Consider the following 22150-nt stretch of genomic DNA (forward strand, 5'->3'; position numbering starts at 1 on the left):
ATGTTGATGCTACTTTAAGAAGCATGTTGAGGAATATTGTGTTTATACTAGGGTTTCTCAACCAGCACTATTAACATTTTGGGCTGGATAATTCTTTGTCGTAGGGGACTGTCCTGTGCATTGCGAAATGTTTGGCAGCACCCCTGGCTTCCACCCGCTGGATATCAGTAGCACCCTGGTCCCCGCCACCACAGCATCCCCACCACAGTTGTGACAATAAAAAGTATTTCCAAACATTACCAAATATCTCCCCTGGGGTCGGAGCCAAATCGCCTCCTTTTGAGAACCACGGATTTATACTGATGTGAAATTTTCTACTCGGCGATTAAAAGGTGAAGAGCACAGGGCTTAGAGTCAGGCATGTTTAAATACCACTTATTACTAGTTGCTTCACTTTGCTTCAGTTTCCTAGTGCTTAAAATGGTACAAAATACCTACTTCACAGGGGATGTTGGAGGATTTCAAAGAGATAGAACTGATATAATAATGAAAGTTCTTTGTATTTATCCTTGATAGCTGGGATGCTGATAATGATACAGACTTTCAAGGAATCGAGATTACAGTACAATATGCCAAGTGGAACTGAGAATAATTAAATGCCTTTCATTTAGACCATATTTTAATCTTATAGCTCTAATGGCTGGATCATATTTCTGCTTAACAAATGGCAAAGCTGATTAAACTGAGACAACATTGGGTATGAAGTAACTTATTATTCAGTAAAAATAGTGTAAGTCTAAGGCATAATCAAAGATAATTTCAAGATGCAGTAATACCAACAGTGAAAAAATCAAGAAGCTACTCCAAGAAACTAAGCTCAGTTTTTCTGCCGGTATTTCCAAAATGTAAGTCAAACATACTTTGTTACTTAGATGATTTTTAAATTGTGTTAAATATTTATAGGGGGAAAAGTTGCTACTCTAAGGTAACTATACAAAAAGAAGCTATTAGGTTTTCCAAATTTGGGATACTTCTGTGCCCTCCTCAGTGTCAACACAGGTCTTTTATGGCACAAAACCTTTGCATTCTAATTGTTTCGCATGCTTGATATACCTCCTTCAGTAACCTGAAGGTGATTTACCCACCTCAGTCCCCACTGCCTAAGTCTATGACTTCCAAATTGCTCAGTAAATGCTGAGTGGATATTTAGTAAGAAACCTATGGACACTGGGGACAAATATGTGTTCATTAAATATGCATCATATACTCTGCAAGCCACCTGGCCTGGTCTCTTCAAAAAGGCAGTATTGGCCAGGTTGGGTGGCTCACGCCTGTAATCCCAGCACTTTGGGACGCCAAGGCAGGCGGATCACTTGAGGTCAGGAGTTCGAGACCAGCCTGGCCAACATGATGAAACCCCATCTCTACTAAAAATACAAAAAAAAAAAAAATTAGGCAGGCGTGGTGGTGCATGCCTGTAATCCTAACTATCTGGGAGGCTGAATGGGATGATTGCTTGAACCTGGGAGGCAGAGGTTGCAGTGAGCCGAGATCGCGCCACTGCACACTCCAGCCTGGGTGACAGGGTGAGACTCCGTCTCAAAAAAAAAAAAGGGGCAGTATCATGAGAAAAAGGATGAGTATGTGCAGTGAGGGGAAAGGCTGCACTTGGCTTAAAGAGTTAACTTGCGCAAATACAGCATGGGGTTACCTGACTCAGTAGTAGCGAACACGGAAAACAGAACTCATTGTAAGAAGCATTTCAGAAATATATTTCTAAAGCCCTTCTTACGGATTCCCGCTGAATAGGTCTAGGGTGAAATCAGTGACTCTTCTCTCCCAGATTATTTCAATAATTAACCAACTTAGGGAGCCTCTGGGTGCTTAGGAAACCCTTTGCAGATGACTGATTTCCATGCTGAGGCACTAACTAACGTTGTTTTTTTTCCCCTGGGCTTCACAAAATTGCAGACTTTTAGTGTGGTTGAAAAAAAAAATACCTGCTTAAAATTTGTTGTTTAATTTTGGTATACTAATAATATATCTTAGTATCAGAATTTGAGGTGATCTGCGAAAATACCGAAAACAATTTCTTAGAAGATTTTAGCTTTCCAAAAGACCTGAAGAGTATTCCGTCAAAGTCTTTTTAAATGGCTAGTCTTCTGAAATGCCTAGTCATTTACAAGTCATTTCTATGTGTGATTGTATTAGCTGTAACAAATGGCTACAAATTGCTTGAAGAACAGAAATGTGTTATAGTTCTGGAGGTGGAAGTCCAAAATCAAGGTATTGGCAAGATTGGTTCCTTCTGAGGGCTGTGAGGGAAGGATCTGCTCCAGACCCCTGTCTTTGGCTTGTAGGTGACCATTTTCTCCATCTCTCTTCCCTCTATGCATGTCTACCACCGTGTGTACATTTCCATTTTTTTAAGGACACCAGTCACTGAATTAGGACCTACCCATATAAGCGCATCTCAACTAATTGCGTCTGTAGCAAATCTGTTTCCAAACAAGGTCACATTCTGAGATTCTAGGGAATCTGAGACTTCAACATAGAGGTGTCCCATAGAGGATGGGGACACCTCAACCCGTAACAGTAATGATGACTGCACATTATGAGAGGGACTAATAAGATAGTGTGCATTGGTATAAAACATGTACCCAGAGGGTTCTCTGTTTAACTTTCAATGGCATAATAACAGTATCAACACCTAAATAACTATGCCAACATAGTTATTTCATGATCCTCAACTGCCTCTGCCTACCCCAGGAATATACTATCTTTATTTCAAATATGGGTGACTTTGTTAACTTCACATCTGCTTGTCAAGTGAAAAAGTAGTTGAAACGGTTATGAGGCTGGGCACGGTGGCTCACACCTGTAATCTCTGCACTTTGGGAGGCCGAGGCAAGTGGATCACTTGAGGCCAGCAGTTCGAGACCAGCCTGACCAATGTGGTGAAACCCCATCTCTACTAAAAATACAAAAATTAGCTGGGTGGTGGCACATGCCTGTAATCCCAGTTACTCGGGAGGCTGAGGCAAGAGAATTGCTTGAACCCAGGAGGCGGAGGCTGCAGTGAGCCGAGATTGTGCCTCTGCACTCCAGCCTGGGCAACAGAGCAGACCCTGTAAAAAAGAAAAAAATTCATAATCTGAATTTGTCTTTTTAAGTGAATCCTGCTGACAAGATAAAACTAGTTTTTGAGGGAAGTAAAGCTTAGAGGAACTTCTACATTTCACACTTGATCTTAGCCAAAAGGCCAGGAAGTGATAAGAACTTCTACATTTTAAGTTATTCACAAGATAACTATTAATGAACCTGAAATAGTTTGTAAAGTATTTCAGAAAGGTGATGCACAAAGTATAGAGTGAAATCTAACCCTCTCACCCGTATTTCCCAGTTTCTGTCCCCACTTCCCCTTCAAAAGGCATTAACTGATTGCTTCTTCAATTTTGATAATTTTTGAATAGGTCATCTATTTCACAGAAGAAAATTCAAAAGGTCTGAGTATATAGTGAAAAATGTGATCAGTTTTTTATTTACCCTTCTAGGAATGCTCTATACATAGTCCAGTACTTGTGTATGTGTGTTTGTGAGTTTATCCTGAATATTTTATTTTAAAAAGTTAACAGTGAATGGATTGGTCATGATGGGTGAGTGGATATTAGGTTTTTGGTTGGAGTAACTGTGTGGGAAATTATGATACTAAGCTAGGAAAGACAGAAGGATTAGCAAATTTGAAAGCAGAACCCTGTTTTAGCCATGCAACATATAAAATGTCTATTAGAATCCAGGCATGATGATAGGAGGCAGGTGAATTACCAACTTGGACCTAAGTAGAAAATTCAGAAATGGAGAGAAAATTGGACAGTTTTAAGCCTTAAGGCAGATTTTAGACAGGAATAGATGAAGTCATCATGGTAGAGAATGCAGACAGAAGTAAAGGTAGTGATCAGAGCGCTAATTCTTTGAATGTTCAGAAGTGAAGCTAAGGAAATCAGTTTTGAACATGTTGAGTTTGAGAAGTTTGTTAGATATGCAAATGGAGATGTTGAATAGATACCTAGATGTATCTGGAGTAGGAGAGAGGACTGGAGATAGAAAAATGTGGATTACCAAGGATGTGTGTGATATAAACAAGTGCCCAAACTATGGGCACTTCACTCAAATAGGAAGTAGGGAAATGGAAAAATATGGAATATATATATATTACATATATACACACACATACATACATACATACATACATACATACATACATACATACATACATACATAAGGGTTGATATTTAGGGGTCCAATGCTGTCAGCCAGTGAGAAAGATAATATTCCTGGCAACCTTGAATGAAGTGTCTCATTCTATCTGCTGCTGCTCCTGTTGGGAAGGCTTTTCTGTTTTTTGTTTTGTTTGGTTTTGTTTGGTTTTGTTGAGACAGGGTCTTGCTCTATTGCCCAGGTCGGAGTGCAGTGGTGCGATTATAGCTCACTGCAGCCTCGATCTTCTTTGCTCAGCAATACTCCTGCCTCAGCCTCTCAAGTAGCTGGGATAACAGGCGCACCCACATGCCTGGCTAATTTTTTTGATTTTTGGTAGAGAGAGGTCTTGCTGTGTTGCCCAGGCTGGTTTGGAACTCCTGAACTCAAGTGATACCCCTGCCACGGCCTCCTAAGTCCTGGGATTACAGGTGTGAGCCACCATGCCTGTCCTCAATTGTAAAATTTTTTTTTTTTTTTTGAGGCGGAGTCTCGCTCCGTTGCCCAGGCTGGAGTGCAGTGGCACGATCTCTGCTCACTGCAAGCTCCGCCACCCGGGTTCACGCCATTCTCCTGCCTCAGCCTCTCAAGTAGCTGGGACTACAGGTGTCCACTACCAAGCCCAGCTAATTTTTTTTTATATTTTTAGTAGAGACAGGGTTTCACCGTGTTAGTCAGGATGGTCTTGATCTCCTGACCTCGTGATCCACCCACCTCAGCCTCCCAAAGTGCTGGGATTAATTTGTAAAATTTTTAAAGTTAAAAAAAAATGATTTTAGGCTGGGCGCAGTGGCTCACGCCTGTAATCCCAGCACTTTGGGAGGCCGAGGCTGGTGGATCACCTGAGGTCAGGAGTTCAAGACCAACCTGACCAACATGGTGAAACCCTGTCTCTACTAAAAATACAAAAATTAGCCAGGCATGGTGGTGGGTGTTTGTAGTCCCAGCTACTTGGGAGGCTGAGGCAGGAGAATCACTTGAACCTGGGAGGCAGAGGTTGCAGTGAGCCGAGATCACGCCACTGCACTCCAGCCTGGGTGACAGAGCGAGACTCCATCTCAAAAAAAAAAAAAAAAAGTTTTTAAGGGCTTTGAAAAGGAGGAAAAAGAAACATGCCCAACAGGGTTCCATTGATTGAACAAATTTAATTTGGTGCAAATGCAGTAAGTGCTTAATAGGCTGTTGGCAGGGAGCTAGGGAATCCTCCAGAAATACTTTGGTCAGGATAACACCATAAAAGGAGCTTGGGAGATAGCCAGCTCTGGTTCCATCTCTGGCTTCACTACTTACTAGCTGGATGACCTTAGACAAACCACTTAACCTCTCCATACTCCTTTACCTCATGAATAAAATAGGATAATAGTATCTACCTTGTAGTATCTATCCCAATTTTTATGGGATTGCTGTTTACATATGTCAAGTATACAGGCTGGCACCTGGTCAGTGATCAGTTAAGTGTTAGCTTTTAGCATCGTTATTATTCTTGTATTATACTAGTAATATTTACCTCATATCTCACTAATATAAGGTGACTGTATCCCACTTTTCCGGGGGTAGATTTATGTCTGTTACTTCGGTGTAATTGATAACAGCAATAAATCATTTGCTCTCAAAAGTATGTCGGATTGGGCAGTAAGATTTATGGTTACCCTGCCTTTGGGATTTTTACAGTAACTCGGAAGTAGTCCCTTGGTGTTATGTACTAACCATGAGAAAAATAAATGTCTCTACTCACACTTTCTCTGTCACTGTTCAATCAAAAGCAGAACCAGCAGTTCCAAAGATAGTGAGTTATCTCCATTAAATGTTCACAGTTACAGGTCAAGCTCTTTGTTCTACTCTTTTGCCCCTTCTCACTTTTGCACTTGACTGGTCTTTATTTTAAAACAAAAAACAAAAAAGCACTATATTTATAGTTAAACAATATTTAACTATTTAAAAACAAGTTTAAATAGTTAAAAATATGTTACATTTCCATGCTGTTTAGACTATCTCCAAAACTCTAGGATATACACCAGTACTGCTATAATGTGTGACATCATTTACTGTGTTATATCAAAATACCTGCCAGTAACGAGAGTGCCTCTGCACTTCAGTCTGGGCTACAGAGTGAGACCCTGTCTCAAAAAAAAAAAAATTGTTTCCTTGTTAAGATAACACTGTGACCAATAGTAAATGAATTTTAAAATATTTTACCTGACATCATCATCAAAACCTGTCTGTCCTATTTCACTTCTGGCATATTTAAATACATATGTTTGATTTTTAAAGTGCATGTTCTCTAATTTTTTTTCTACTTAATATTATTGTATCCTAAACATCTGTTGTTGGAAGTATTTCATATATATCCATTTTAATGAAGCATGATGTTTCATTAAGTTGACGTTCCATAACTTATCATTTTCTTATTTTTGGACCTAGAGATTGTTTTTAATTTTATGTCATATGTAATGTTGCATTCCTGGAGTCTTTTTCATTCTTTTGAACATTCAGAGCACAGGTATTAAGACAATGGGTTGTTGGGAAAAATGAAATGAAATTTAAGTGAAACCACTTTTTCTCACACGTCAGACCATTCTGCAAGCTTTTTTTTTTTTTTTTTTTTTTTTTTTTAACTGATGCATTGATCTCTAGAACACAATTTAAGAAACCTTGGTAAGGAAAAAAAGTGAACTTCTGGCCTTTCTTTTTTAACTTGTGGTAAACACATTTAACATGAGAACTTAATCATCTTGCATAATTAAAACTTTTTACCTGTTGAATAGCAATTCCCCATTTCTCCCTCCCCGTTTCTCCTGGCACTCTCTGCTTCTCCTACTCTCTGCTTTCTATTTTATATACCTCATAAAAGTGGTTTTATGCAATATTTGTCCTCCTGAGACTGCCTTATTTTACTTGGCAAAATGTCCTCCAGGTTCATTCATGTTGGATATAGCAGGACTTTTTTTTTAAGGCTGAGTGATATTCCATAGTATTTAGATACCATTTTCTTAATCTACTCATCCATCTATTAACATTTAGGTTGTTTCCACATCTTGACTAATTCAGTGAACATAGGAGTGCAAATAGCCCTTCAATATCTTAATTTCAGTTCTTCTGAAAATACCAAAAGATTGATAGGATTGCTGGATCATAGGGTAGTTCTATTTTTAATTTTTTGAGGAATCTCCATACTGTTTTCTATAATGGCTGTACCAATTTACATTACCACCAGCAGTGTACAAGAGTTCCAATTTCTCCACATTTTCACCAGCACTTACCTTTGGTTTGTTTTTGTCTGTTTGTTTAATAGCTAAACTGACAGGTGTGAGGTGATAAGTTCTGGCCTTTCTAAGTGAAAGGTGTATGGTGAAATCACCAGGTAAGAGTGTGTAGAGTGAGAAGAAGCCCAAGTCAGCGCCCTGGGGCACGCAGGAACTAAGAAAACCCTACTGTGAAAATGAAATCATACATGATGATGGACCAGTTCTGGTAGGATGGTTGGGTCAACACTTAGAACAGTGGATTAAAGAAATCTAAGGAAGCAGGGCTGGGCTCAATGGCTCACGCCTGTAATCCTAGCACTTTGGGAGGCCAAGGCAGGCAGAGCCCAGGAGTTCGAGACCAGTCTGGCCAACATGGCAAAGCCCCATCTCTACAAAAAATATAAAAATTAGCCGGGCATGGTGGCACGTGCCTGTTGTCCCAGCTACTCAGGAGGCTGAGGTGGGAGGATTGCTTGAGCCCCAAGGGTGCAGTGAGCCATGATAGCGCCACTGCACTCCAGCCTGGGTGACAGAGCAAAAGACCTTGTCTTCAAAAAAATTAAGAAATCTAAGGAAGCAGTACATTTTGCATATACCTGTCTCAAATGAAATCCTATGTAAGGTTCAAATCATATCAGATGAAATGGTTATTGTTTATCTTCTCTTTGCCTCCCCACATCCCCCCTTCACCAGATCCCCCACTAGCTCCAGAGACATCTGATTCATAAGACCCAATATAAAAGCTAATAGACTATTCTTTCAAAGTCCTTGGTGGTGAAGGGAAGGAAAAAGCAAGACGGCACAGTAACTAGAAGCAGGGCAAAGGTTAGTTTAAGATAGGAGAGATGCAAGCATAATTAATGTAGGCTGTGGAAAGAGAGCCTGGAAAGAAGGGGCCAAGATAAAATGAAGAACTTGAGAAAGTGAGAGAGATGGATGCAGATTTAACACATTTGTGACTGTGTGGATAGGATGTTATTAGACGGTCTTACTTTTCTTTTTCCTTTCTTCTCTTTTCTTTTTTTTTTTTGAGATGGAGTCTCACCCTGTCACCCAGGCTGGAGTGCAGTGGTGCAGTCTTGGCTCACTGCAACCTCCGTCTCCCAGGTTCAAGCGATTCTCCTGCCTCAGCCTCCCGAGTAGCTGGGACTACAGGTGCATGCCACCACACCCAGCTAATTTTTTGTATTTTTAGTAGAGACGGGGTTTCACAGCGTTAGCCAGGATGGTCTCGATCTCCTGACCTCGTGATCTGCCTGCCTTGGCCTCCCAAAGTGTTGGGATTACAGGCGTGAGCCACTGCGCCCCGCCGGTCTCACTTTTCTTTATGATGTATAGGTGAGGCCATTCCCTGGGCGGCTTGCCAGTTGTAGGGCAGGGTAAGAAGACAGAAAAGAGATGAAATTTAGGAAATTTCGGATGAAGAATGGGAGAGAGAAGAGGCTTAGAACACAGAAAGCAGTCCTTGAATGGTGATGGTGCTGGTGAGGTTTGAATCACAAACTTGTTACACTGGCCATTTAGGGCCTGGATATTAGCTGGCAGAGTAAGTGCTCAATAAAAGTGTGTTTGTATGAAGACATGATTTGTTCCATTCCTGTTGTATTTTATTAAAAAAAAAAACAACCTTTCCTATTCATTTACTATTGCATATAGAGGACTTGGGTGCATCTAACCTCAGGAAGACATGAAGAGGTGATGGACTACTTTATTTATTTACTTATATTTTTTATAGAGATGGGATCTTGCTATGTTATCTAAGCTGGTCTCAAACTCCTGGCCTCAGGCAGTCTTTAGCCTTTGCCTCCCAAAGTGCTGGGATTATAGGCATGAGCCACCATACCTGGCCCTGGACCACTTTGGAAAGAAATATGAATCCACTTGATTATGAAAACAGCCGTTTATTAAATTTATTAATTTATTAAACAGCCTCTGCAGTTAAGTATGTTCTCCTAGACAAGAGTTGGCGAAAACTCTCACTTCTGGGTTAACTTTCTTAAAACACTTATGTTCACTCTCTTGCTCAAAAGCTTTCCTAGACAACTTCCAATTTAAAGAATTCCAGGCCAGGCGTGTTGGCTAACACCTATAATCCCGGCACTTTGGGAGGCCGAGGCAGGCAGATATCTCGAGCCCAGGAGTTGGAGACCAGCCTGGCCAACATGGCGAAACCTGTCTCTGGTAAAAATACAAAAGTTAGCTGGGCATGGTGGCAGGCGCCAGATACTTGGGAGGCTGAAGTAGGAGGATCACCTGAGCCTGAGGAGGTCAAGGCTGCAGTGAGTTGTGATCGCACTACTGAACTCCGGCCTGGGTGACAGAGTGAGGCCTTGTCTCAAAACCAAAAATACATAAATAAAGATTAAAGTCTAAACCATAGGTTTAGTGGCTTCAGACTTTTACATCTGACCCTGCACTATTATACTTACTCTATCCTTATACTGGCATATACATGTATTTTTTAAAAAATAAAAGTTAATACAATGTTTCTTTTTTGAGACAGAGTCTTGCTCTGTCACCCAGGCTGGAGTGCAGAGGGGTGATCATGGCTCACTGCAGCCTCAACCTCCAGGGCTCAAGCAGTCCTCCCACCTCATCCTCCCAAGTGACTGTAACTATGGGCACGCACCAGTACACCTGGCCAATCTTTAATTCTTTTGTAGGGAGGAGGTCTCACTATGTTGTCCAGGCTGGTCTCAAACTCTTGGGCTCAAGTGATCCTCCTGCCTTAGCCTCCCAAAGAGCTGGGATTATAGGCATGAACCATCTTGCTAGGTCACAAACTTGTTTTTAATTTAACAATTGCTCTCAGGTCATTCTGTATTTCCCTTTGTATCTATTATCTTTGGTACAAAGCAAGCTTTTTTTCTCCCAAAACTGTATAGTGTTACATCAAAGTGATACACTATAACGTATATAATCAGTTTCCAATTGATGGTCATTTAAATTAATCCCATCCTTTTGGTATAACAAGTAAAATTACAATCAATATATATGTATATATGTCATTTTGTGTATGTATAAATATATCTTTAAAATAAATTTCTAAAAGGAGCAAATGAGTAAAGAATATTTTGATAGATACTATTAAAACAGCATCCTAAGTGTTGTGGCAGCTTATGCTTTCAATATATGAGAGTGTTTATCCCCTGAAAATCTTCACCATACTTTTATCCAACTTCTTGATCTTTCCTGACCTCAGGAGAAAATTATCACATGGTTTAAAAGTCTACCTCTCTTTCAATTTGCTCAGTTGAGCATCTTTTTCTTTGTTTAAAAACATTTGTAGGACCAGACACGGTGGCTCACACCGGTAATCTCAGCACTTTGGGAGGCTGAGGTAGGAGGATCACTTGAGGCCAGGAGTTCAAGACCAGCCAGGGCCAACATAGTTGAGACCCTATCTCCACAAAAAATAAAAAATTAGCTGGATGTGGTGGCATGTGCCTGTAGTCCCAGCTACTCAGGAGGCTGAGGTGGGAGGATCACTTGAGCCCAAGAAGATTGAGGCTTGCAGTGAGCTCTGACAACACTGCAACTCCAGCCTGGGGTGACAAAGGCTAAGACTCTGTCTCAAAAAAAAAAAAAATTATATTTTTGAGAATTCCATTTTTCCTTTGTACTAGTAGTCTGGCTAATTTGGGAGGAGTTTGTTTGTTTGTTTGTTTGTTTGTTTTGTTTGTTTTGACGGCGTTTCACTCTTCGTTGCCCAGGCTGGAGTGCAGTGGCACAATCTCGGCTCACTGCAAACCTCTGCCCTCCCGGGTTCAAGTGATTCTCCTTGTCTCAGCCTCCTGAGTGGCTGGGATTACAGGCACCTGCCACACATTTCCTAAGGCCACATAGCTAGGAGTGGGAATCTAGGTCTCCCTGAATTCCTGGGTCTAGCCGAACACACCCAGGTAATTTTTGTATTTTTAGCAGAGACAAGGTTTCACCATGTAGGCCAGGCTGGTCTCGAACTGCTAACCGCAGGTGATGCACCCGCCTTGGCCTCCCAAAGTGCTAGGATTACAGGCATGAGCCACCGCAGCCCGCTGGAGGAGCTTTTAAATATTAATAATATTAGTTCTTTGTGATTTGACCCGCAACTTTTCCCCTCAAGTTATCTGACTGTTTGTATTTGCCCTTTTATGGCTATGTAATCTTAATCCTTCCTAAGTCCCACAGAGAAGCCATTTCCAAACCATTCTGGTTCAACACTGACTTATCTCTCCCTCCTTGAAATTGTACCCTCACTGGGAGCTCAGGGTCACCTGTCTTTTCATGTGTTTATCTCCTATCTCTAAGCAGATGTCAGAGTTCTGAAAGGCAGAAACATCTTTACATCTAACTGTTCAACACATAAACTCTCAGTAATCTTTGCTGATGATAATAATTGTAGCAGCTCTGGCTGTGTTCATATCAAGCCATTGCTGCATGTATCGCCATAACAGTGTGTCTCCTTGATTTATCTTTGGTTTCTTCAAGTTGTCGGAATTTTTGCCAAGAGCAGTTTTATGGAATCAGCACAAACTAATGAAGAAAGTGAGTTATCTTGCATTTGAAAAGATGTGTCTAGGTTACATCTTAGGTCAGCTGTCACACACTATCCCAAGTTCAATGTTGGCTGCTGGCACTGTGCTCTTTTAATGTTTCTAAGTAAGACATCTTCTCACATAGTCCCAGAACTGTCAACAATGAGATAATTTTTTGGGAACAGGAGAATGACCTTGCGATTCTGGGAGGAGAGAACGTGATAGAAAAGATATCAGTGACTGCAATTTGCAACCTGTTGGGAAATCATAGTCCTCTAACATTCACCAGTCTTTTAATCTGACAAGGAGGGGACATTTTATGTGTTCACAGAAACGAGAGAACACAAAGTAAAATTAAACAATTACATGAGAGGAACCATAATCTCTGCCTTCTCAAGTAAAAGATACTATCTGCTGTGTTCGGGACATGATAAAGATGTGCTATATAGTAGACCAGGAGAGCTTTATGAATGTATGTATATATAGATTTGGTTTAAACTTCTTGTAATGTTATGGGCAAAAGATTTGTGGTACAGTTAAGTGAAGAAATTTACATAGCAGTTAAAGTTCTGCAAAAAACAGAAACGTCCATAGGCTGTTTTAAATGTTAAAATAAAAACCTTTAAATGTCTATAGTAGTCATAGGAAAGATATACCAAATTTTAAGAGATTAACTTGGGGTGGTTGTTTTTCAGATTTTCTCCAACATATATGTATAACTGTTGTACATCATCCATTTTAGTATCAGAGCAATACTTGAAATACGCTACCATCTCATCCAAAATAGCCATCAGATGATTTGGCCATGCTGACACACACTCGAAATCCACTTTGCTCCCCCTGGTATCAGTGAACAGACATATTTTAATGATTAAATACCCAAATGTTAACTAAGAAATAAATGTATAATCCTCTCTTTGAGTTTGCTCAAAGGCTGAGGAAGAAGAGAGAAATATCTTAAAGAGATTTTTAAAATTCAGCACTATCCTAATGATCACATGGGATTCCTTTTTGGACCCTTTCTTTGAGGACAGTTTACCAGAAAGACCTCATTATGATCTGGTCCCATCTCTGTTAAAATTAGCTTGTAATGGATCTACAAGGCTGCCTACGGGTGTAGTAACCTCACACAGAATGGATCTTAACCTCCTTCCTTCCTTTTGTTGCTATGTTAGAAAGGGATCCATTATAGCCACAAGTTAGTGCTTTCGAGGCTTGCATACATAGGACATGCTTATTCCTGGGTTTGTGTGTTTGTGTGTGTATGTGTATGCAATCAACTCAGGTGGGAAAGATTTGTGCTTACTCATGATTTAAGATAAATGGAAGGATTCTGTTAGAAGAAGTAAATGTAATGGTTAAGAGTTTGGACTCTGGAGTTAGAGGTTATCCTGGCTCAGCCACTGAACAAATGAAGAACAAACTGTATAGACCTCAAGAACATACATGAGATAATCCATGTAAAGCACCTAGTCCAGCGTTTGGCTGGTATGAAGCCATCAATAAATGATGATTTTTAATTAAAGACGTAGCTTTGGCTTTTTATTTATTTTGGTCTGTAACAGCGATGTGAAGATCATCTTCTAAGGAAAGAGCGTATTGTAGTGCAGGGTGGTTCACGTACACATCATCGTGCCATCCTGCATTCACAAGTTTGGTTATTCTGTCTTGCAAACGTTCAAATGGTTCCTAATGTATTTGGACATCTTACTATTATTAAGGTCTTGCGATTCTGAAAGTTTTAAAAAGTCCTGCCCCTAGGCCGGGCGTGATGGCTCACGTCTGTAGTCCCAGCACTTTGGGAGGCCGAGGAGGGCGGATCACGAGGTCAGGAGTTTGAGACCAGCCTGGCCAACATAGTGAAACCCTGTCTCTACTAAAAATACAAAAAGTTAGCTGGACATGGTGGCGGGCACCTGTAATCCCAGCTACTCTGGAGGCTGAGGCAGGAGAATTGCTTGAACCCAGGAGGCGGAGGTTGCAGTGAGCCGAGATTGCACCACTGCGCTCCACCACAGAGAGAGACTCCGTCTCAAAAAACAAACAAACAAACAAAAACTCAAATAACAAAACTGACTTTATATTTTCATGTTACAGTCTCTTTAAACAAAGTTCAAAAATTTTAAATACATTTTCATTTTCAATCAGTATATTTTATCACTTCTTCTTTAGAAGTGGTTGATGGATGATTTATAAGATGCAAAAACAATGTTTGTTTTTTTCCATAGAGTTTAGTAAAACAAAATCACACTGTTTTTCCATTGAATTTTGTGGCTTTACTTATTAAATTAACTCTGAAAAATGTATTGTCTATATTTTTTATGTGTGAATTCATAAAGTTGGTAGTTCTGAGATTAACTTGGCTGTTTATTTCTGGACTTTAAATGAATACTCCTGACCAACATCTGACATTGATATGCATTGAGATATATGATTGAAAAGATATTTCTGAAAGAGATTTGTAGCTTAAAATCTAGTAATAAAGATTTGTTAAATCAATTACAGCACATACATATGAGTACCATGAAACTATAAAAAATCATGTTTTAGGAAAAAAACAATGGCGTAAGAAAACATTCCATGTTTTCGAATTGTGTGACCATAAAATGAACATATTTCATATCATAATACAACAGTATAGGAGTATATAAAGTAAAAGCTCCCCCATCCATTAAACTATTAATAGTGGTTTTCGATTCCAATGATCTGTCTTTGTGCTTCTGGGTGTTTAATTATTATTTTTTTTTGAGACCGAGTCTCGCTCTGTCGTCACGCTGGAGTACAGTGGCGCCATCTCGGCTCACTGCAACCTCCGCCTCCCAGGTTCAAGCGATTCTCCTGCCTCAGCCTCCTGAGTAGCTGGGATTACAGGCGCGTGCCACTACGCCCAGCTAATTTTTTTGTATTTTTAGTACAGACGGGGTTTCACCATGTTGGCCAGGATAGTCTCGATCTTTTGAGCTCATGATCCGCCCGCCTTGGCCTCCCAAAGTGCTGGGATTACAGGCATGAGCCACCGCGCCCGGTTTTAATTCTTTTCTTAAATGAACAATACTACTTTTATTAACAGAAAAATAATTATAGTAAAGAAATGTTTTGTATAATAACTATGACATAATTCATTAAAATTCTCCATTACCAGTGACAGTTTTTACATGTAGACCCATAGGAAAAGAAGTGATTTAAGCTATAACCACTAACACTTTTCCTGTAGAAGCTAGATTATTCTTTGCGAATATAGTATTTAGCTAAGCTGGAAAGGGAAATCTGATGCCCTCTTGTGGCCAGTAATTTTTATAGGCGATTTATTCCTTTTCATCTGGTCTAAATATGGTCTCAATTTATAGTTCCCTCGTCATTAGTGTGCCATTGTCTTATCTTTTAATATTTTTAGCCATTTGTGTTTCTTTATTGATTTGGCCTTACTAAATGATTTACTTTAATTATATACAGACCCTTTTTGTATATAGTGACATTAATTCATTTTCTTTTACACATTTTGTGAAAATTTAAAATTTTTTCCCCATTCCAAATGGCCTGTCTTCCAATATTTCCCAAAGCTAAAGTTTATATGTATATATACAAAATGTGTGTATATATATATATAATGTGTATATATATATATAATATATATTATATATGTATAATCCTTCCATATTTCCTCTCAGTTCTTTTATTTATTTTTATTCTTGGTAAAGATGGGGTCTCACTTTGTTGCCTAAGTTGGTCTCAAACTTCTGGCCTCAAGCAGTTCTCCTACCTTGGCCTCCCAAAGTGCTGAGATTACAGGTGTGAGTCAGCCTCTTCTCAGTACTCCTATAGTTTCATAACTTACGTGATTTCTTTAATATATTTGGAATCTATTTTTATGGTTTGAAGTAGGGGGTTAATTTTTAAAAATGGATAGCCAAATACCTATTAATTTTTGTTTTGTTTTAGTTTTTTAAAATTTTTTATTATTATTATACTTTAAGTTTTAGGGTACATGTGCACAACGTGCAGGTTTGTTACATATGTATACATGTGCCGTGTTGGTGTGCTGCACTCATTAACTCGTCATTTAACATTAGGTGTATCTCCTAATGCTGTCCCTCCTCCCTCCCCTCACCCCACAACAGTCCCTGGTGTGTGATGTTCCCCTTCCTGTGTCCATGTGTTCTCGTTGTTCAATTCCCACCTATGAGTGAGAACATGCGGTGTTTGGTTTTTTGTCCTTGCAGTAGTTTGCTGAGAATGATGGATTCCAGCTTCATCCATGTCCCTACAAAGGACATGAACTCATCATTTTTTATGGCTGCATAGTATCCCATGGTGTATATGTGCCACATTTTCTTAATCCAGTCTATCATTGTTGGACATGTGGGTTGGTTCCAAGTCTTTGCTATTGTGAATAGTGCCGCAATAAACCTACGTGTGCATGTGTCCTTATAGCAGCATGATTTATAATCCTTTGGGTATATACCCAGTAATGGGATGGCTGGGTCAAATGGTATTTCTAGTTCTAGATCCCTGAGGAATCGCCACACTGACTTCCACAATGGTTGAACTAGTTTACAGTCCCACCAACAGTGTAAAAGTGTTCCTATTTCTCCACATCCTCTCCAGCACCTGTTGTTTCCTGACTTTTTAAATGATCGCCATTCTAACTGGTGTGAGATGGTATCTCAATGTGGTTTTGATTTGCATTTCTCTGATGGCCAGTGATGATGAGCATTTTTTCATGTGTCTTTTGGCTGCATAAATGTCTTCTTTTGAGAAGTGTCTGTTCATATCCTTCACCCACTTTTCGATGGGGTTGTTTTTTTCTTGTAAATTTGTTGGAGTTCATTGTAGATTCTGGATATTAGCCCTTTGTCAGGTGAGTAGGTTGCAAAAATATTCTCCCATTCTGTAGGTTGCCTGTTCACTCTGATGGTAGTTTCTTTTGCTGTGCAGAAGCTCTTTAGTTTAATTAGATCCCATTTGTCAATTTTGGCTTTTGTTGCCATTGCTTTTGGTGTTTTAGACATGAAGTCCTTGCCCATGCCTATGTCCTGAATGGTATTGCCTAGGTTTTCTTCTAGGGTTATGGTTTTAGGTCTAACATGTAAGTCTTTAATCCATCTTGAATTAATTTTTGTATAAGGTGTAAGGAAGGGATCCAGTTTCAGCTTTCTATATATGGCTAGCCAGTTTTCCCAGCACCATTTATTAAATAGGGAATCCTTTCCCCATTGCTTGTTTTTCTCAGGTTTGTCAAAGATCAGATAGTTGTAGATATGTGGCGTTATTTCTGAGGGCTCTGTTCTGTTCGATTGGTTTATATCTCTGTTTTGGCACCAATACCATGCTGTTTTGGTTACTGTAGGCTTGTAGTGTAGTTTGAAGTCAGGTAGTGTGATGCCTCCAGCTTTGTTCTTTTGGCTTAGGATTGAGTTGGCAATGCGGGCTCTTTTTTGGTTCCATATGAACTTTAAAGTAGTTTTTTCCAATTCTGTGAAGAAAGTCATTGGTAGCTTGATGGGGATGGCATTGAATCTATAAATTGCCTTGGGCAGTATGGCCATTTTCACGATATTGATTCTTCCTACCCATGAGCATGGAATGTTCTTCCGTTTGTTTGTATCCTCTTTTATTTCATTGAGCAGTGGTTTGTAGTTCTCCTTGAAGAGGTCCTTCACATCCCTTGTAGGTTGGATTCGTAGGTATTTTATTCTCTTTGAAGCAATTGTGAATGGGAGTTCACTCATGATTTGGCTCTCTGTTTGTCTGTTATTGGTGTATAAGAATACCTATTAATTTTTGATTAGTGGATTCTTCATCTTTAATTTGAAAAGCCCCATTCACCAAACTTCTGTATATAAATGTTTCTGGTTCTGGATCTGTAATTCTGTTTCACTGGTGAATTAGTTTATTCCTATGTTATACTTCAGAGTATGTATTAATAAATAATGTAAAAGGAAAAATACTCTCTGCTCATTGTTTTACTTAAAACAATTCTTGGTAATTCTTGAAATTTACTCTTCCATGTAAACTTAAAATCAGGCTTTCTAGTTACATAAAATTTTGCTGGGATTTTAAAATTATGATTTCTATTGACTTTATGTATTAATTTGTAGAAAAGTAAAGCTTTTATAATATCAGGTCCATTTAAAAATGATATATTCTTCTATTCAGTTTTTGTCTTTCACCAAATTTTAATAATTTTCTTCTCTATAGGACTCACTCCTTTTTGTTGTTGTTAAAGTTTATTTCCAGGTATTTAATAAATTTTCTTTCACTTTTCTTTTTTGCATCCCTCTACTCCCTAATACTTTTTCTTAATAATGGGGTTTTCTCCCACCAAATACTATATTTAACATTTTTCTCATGAATATTATCATATTATATATAATGGGAACACTGGAGGAAACTATGCACTATTGCTACCCCATTATAAGTATTTACTATTTCAGAATATTTCCTTGTAGACACAGTATGATTACAAACATAAAACTGTAGCCACATTGCAATTGTTTAATTCAGAAATACAACAGATTGTCCACAAAACATACAATTTGATTATCACTGATGGCAGCATTTGCATCTGCTAAAAATAAATCCATTGAACTTGTCTTAAAGCCCTTTGAGAAAGTGTCTTTTTACCCTCCAGTTACAAAGTAATAATGCTCAATATAAAAATTTAAAGATCAAAATGTTGAAAGTAGAAAAATAATATTCTCTGTATTTGTCCCATTCCCCGCCTCTGAGAACACTAACTACCATTAACAATTTTTTGCCCCCAGACAATACTAGCACCATTCTAGGCATACCATTTTTTTTTTTATTCTACTCTTTTTTAATGGCTACATGGTATTTTCCACAGCATTTCCTTGAACAGATGTTCAAATTTTATTAAACTGTTCATCTATTGGTGGCTACTTGGGCTTTTGTTATTTTTGCCACCCAAAACAATTTTGCAGTGAACACTTATTACGTAGGTAATGGTCCTCGTTTGAGTACTTCTGTAGATAAATTTCTAGAAGTACGTACAATTGCTTGATCAAGGGATATATACTTCAAGAAGGTGTAACTGCCCTCCTCTTTAAGCCTCTAGTAACACTGTAAGAGACTGCTTCCCCTACACCCTCACCAATATTGGGCATTATTAATTTTGATTCCCAAAATAAATGTTTTAATTTGTATTTAGTGTTCATATATTTATTGGTCATAACACTAATATTATACACAGAAATGATCCATTAAACCTCTAGTCTAGATAGAAATGTGTTTCACCCATATTCCCTATGGATTTATATTTTATAAATTTTATATATGTATACACACAAATAAACATTTTTTAGCCATGGCATTGCTGTCTAAATCATAATTAGTATTTTTAAGTCCTATGAAATTTAAACACAAAGTCTCCCATGATTATGTTTCTTAACTTTTATGGAAGAAATTTTTGTAGCTAGGTATTTTTTTTTTTTTGATAGGAGAAACAAATTCAGTACTTTTATTTGTGCTGATTGTGTGCTTTACAGAATAAACATCAAACTACCCTAATTGCAGTGATGTATCTGCTACAAGTCTTAATGGTGAATTTGTTTTTGATAAGGGTTAAACATGCTTCCACTTTTGTCCTTATGTTACCCTTAAAAGTATACATGAAAGAACAAAGGAACATAGAAGATGGACTAATGCTATTAAATTTGGAAGTGGGTGATGGTTTCTGCAATGAATAAAATGTACATATTTTAAAGAGGAATTGCATGAGCCTTCCCTTGTGCTCATGAGTGCTTGTGTGACAACTTCGCAGTACGAGTCAATGCCATAAAGTGCCATATGCAATGCAGGGATATTGTTGTGTTTCCGTAAGAGCCTCACAATGTTATTGCTTCATCCATTGCAATAGATTCCAGAGTATATGAAGAAATTTGGCACAAAGTTTACTAACGTTGTACACTCTGTTAAATTGCCAAGTAACTGATAAGTAAGAAAAAAAAGTTAAAGACTGTGACAGACTTGGGAATTACTACTCATTATGTGTGATCTTTCCATGTAACAAGTCATTGGTACAGTTTGCTTTGTCATCTCAGTCTTCACTCTACTGGGTTGTACTGTTTATTGCAATTTAATTTCTATTTCCAGCAATAAAATTACTATCAGATGATCAGCCAGCTCCCTCTTCAGATATATCTGAGTAGTTTGTAACAAGAAACTTGGCCAAAGATTTATTAGTGGTTAATCAATAGATACTTTAATGTCTTATATTCTCATTAATTTACCTTCGCACTGGTTCCTTTTTTTAAAAAAAATCTTGGTCTGATAATGAACCTTCTTACAAGTTTCAAGATTTGGTAGATTTTATAGGTAACAAAATGAATCTGATGGCAAGGTACCATGGCATGGGCCTTAAAAAAGCCCAGCTGGGTTTTAAGTCAGAGCTTCATTATTTAGTTTTCTGTGATCTTGGGCATTTTTAACTTCTCTGGAATCCTTATCTAACTGGGATGATAATGGTACATACCCCCTGAGGCTGTGATGATTAAATAAGTTGTTGCCATGTAGTAATAAAAATTAAAAAAATTATTTACTATTATCTGTAAAATGGACAGAATGGCTACACAATAAACTGTACATGGTAGGTGTTTGTATTTTTCCCTCTTCCTAATCATAAAATAAGAAATTAACACATACCTCTGTTAGCTGAGAAGTCAACATAAATGCTTTATTATCTTAACTTGGAACCACAGAAGTTTACTAAAAAGTTAAATACTTTGAGATAAATATTATACTAATAAACCAGAAATAAGCACTGCTTTAGTATTAATGTGATAGAACTTACTAAAACTTTTTTTTTCAAATATCCAAGTTTAACCTATAAAATTTAGAGCTTTGCAGTTATGCCTACAAATACAAAAATAAAATGGAGAATTTAAACAAATTATTGTTCAGTGATAAACCACTCCTGCTTGAAATAGCCCGATAAGGCTTTCAAGCTGAAATTATGTAGTCATGTTTTAAGAGCCACCTTGGAGTTGTCTAAGGGAGACAAACTTAAGAGAACAAAGCACCTAGAGTCATAATTACTACTAAAAAAGGGTTTGGCAAACTTTTGTACCCCATGCTTGCTAGAACTTAAGACCCAGTTGCTGAGTGACAGTTTTATTTCATTAGGAATAGATTGGAAAAGCCATATTTATGAGAGCTTTCTTTTGCTCTAAATAAGTTTCAGGACAAGGTGGAGGATGGGTAGTCGAAACACTGGCAGAATCTTCTATGAGTAATAACATCTACCTGTATGCAGTTGAATTCAAAACTAGTGGTTTCCCCAAGAGGCCCTGTCATTTAATCGTCAGAACTAATTAAGGAGATTTTGTAGTAACGTGGAATGTTCTGGCTACTAGGTATGTGCCAAAAATAACACTTCCTTCTTTACACTATTATGCTTCTGATTTTCCCAACAAACCTATATAGTCATCCCTCAGTATCCTTGGAGGATTTGTTCCAGGACCCTCCTGGATACCAAAATCCTCAGATGCTCAAGTGCCTTATATAAAATGGCTTCGTATTTGCATATAACCTATGTACATCCTTTAAATCTAGATAATACCTAATGCAATGTAGTTATATTTTAAAATTTGTATTTTTTTAATTTTTGAGTATTTTCCATACATGGTTAAATACAGATGAAAAACCTACAGATGAGGACCAATTTGCTCATAAGCAAAGCAATAAATAAATTCTGTCTGCTAACTTCATGATAAAAATACTTGAAACTTTCCAACTTTACGCCAATCACCTACAAATCTGTCATTATCACCACAAAACTCTCAAGGACCCATAAGGAAGCAGTGTGATGACTCTGAAAGTAATTTTTTTTTCCTTTTTTTCTTTCAATAACTTTGGTTAAAAAAAATTGATAAAACGCATCTCCCTTGTGACACTAATAAACAAACATGCTCATGTTTGAATAGGCAGTCACTAGATTTCAGGAAAAGAGTAGATATGGTTTAGAGAGATGTTAAAATTGTGTATGGCTTAAAGAGTACAATATTAAAGCTAGAAAAGTCTCTAAGGTTTAAAAATGAGTTTTCTGAAGTTGCAAACTTTAAAAACTGACATTTTCATACTATTGAGCTATACCTTTATGATTTGTGCAGTTTTGTATTTCAACAGAATTTATCTTCCTAAAAATAACAATAATTTGTGGAATAGCCATGGCCA

General features: G+C 38.1%; 1 protein-coding gene across 6 annotated transcripts in view; it reads left to right on the forward strand.

Moving 5' to 3' along the window:
- CXADR (CXADR cell adhesion molecule) overlaps window positions 1-22150 on the forward strand; it is a 123220-nt gene that overhangs the window by 57788 nt on the left and 43282 nt on the right. The gene's annotated exons all lie outside the window — the stretch shown is intronic.

The sequence above is a fragment of the Homo sapiens genome, chromosome 21 (genome assembly GCF_000001405.40).
Source record: "Homo sapiens chromosome 21, GRCh38.p14 Primary Assembly".
Taxonomy (NCBI): domain Eukaryota; kingdom Metazoa; phylum Chordata; class Mammalia; order Primates; family Hominidae; genus Homo; species Homo sapiens.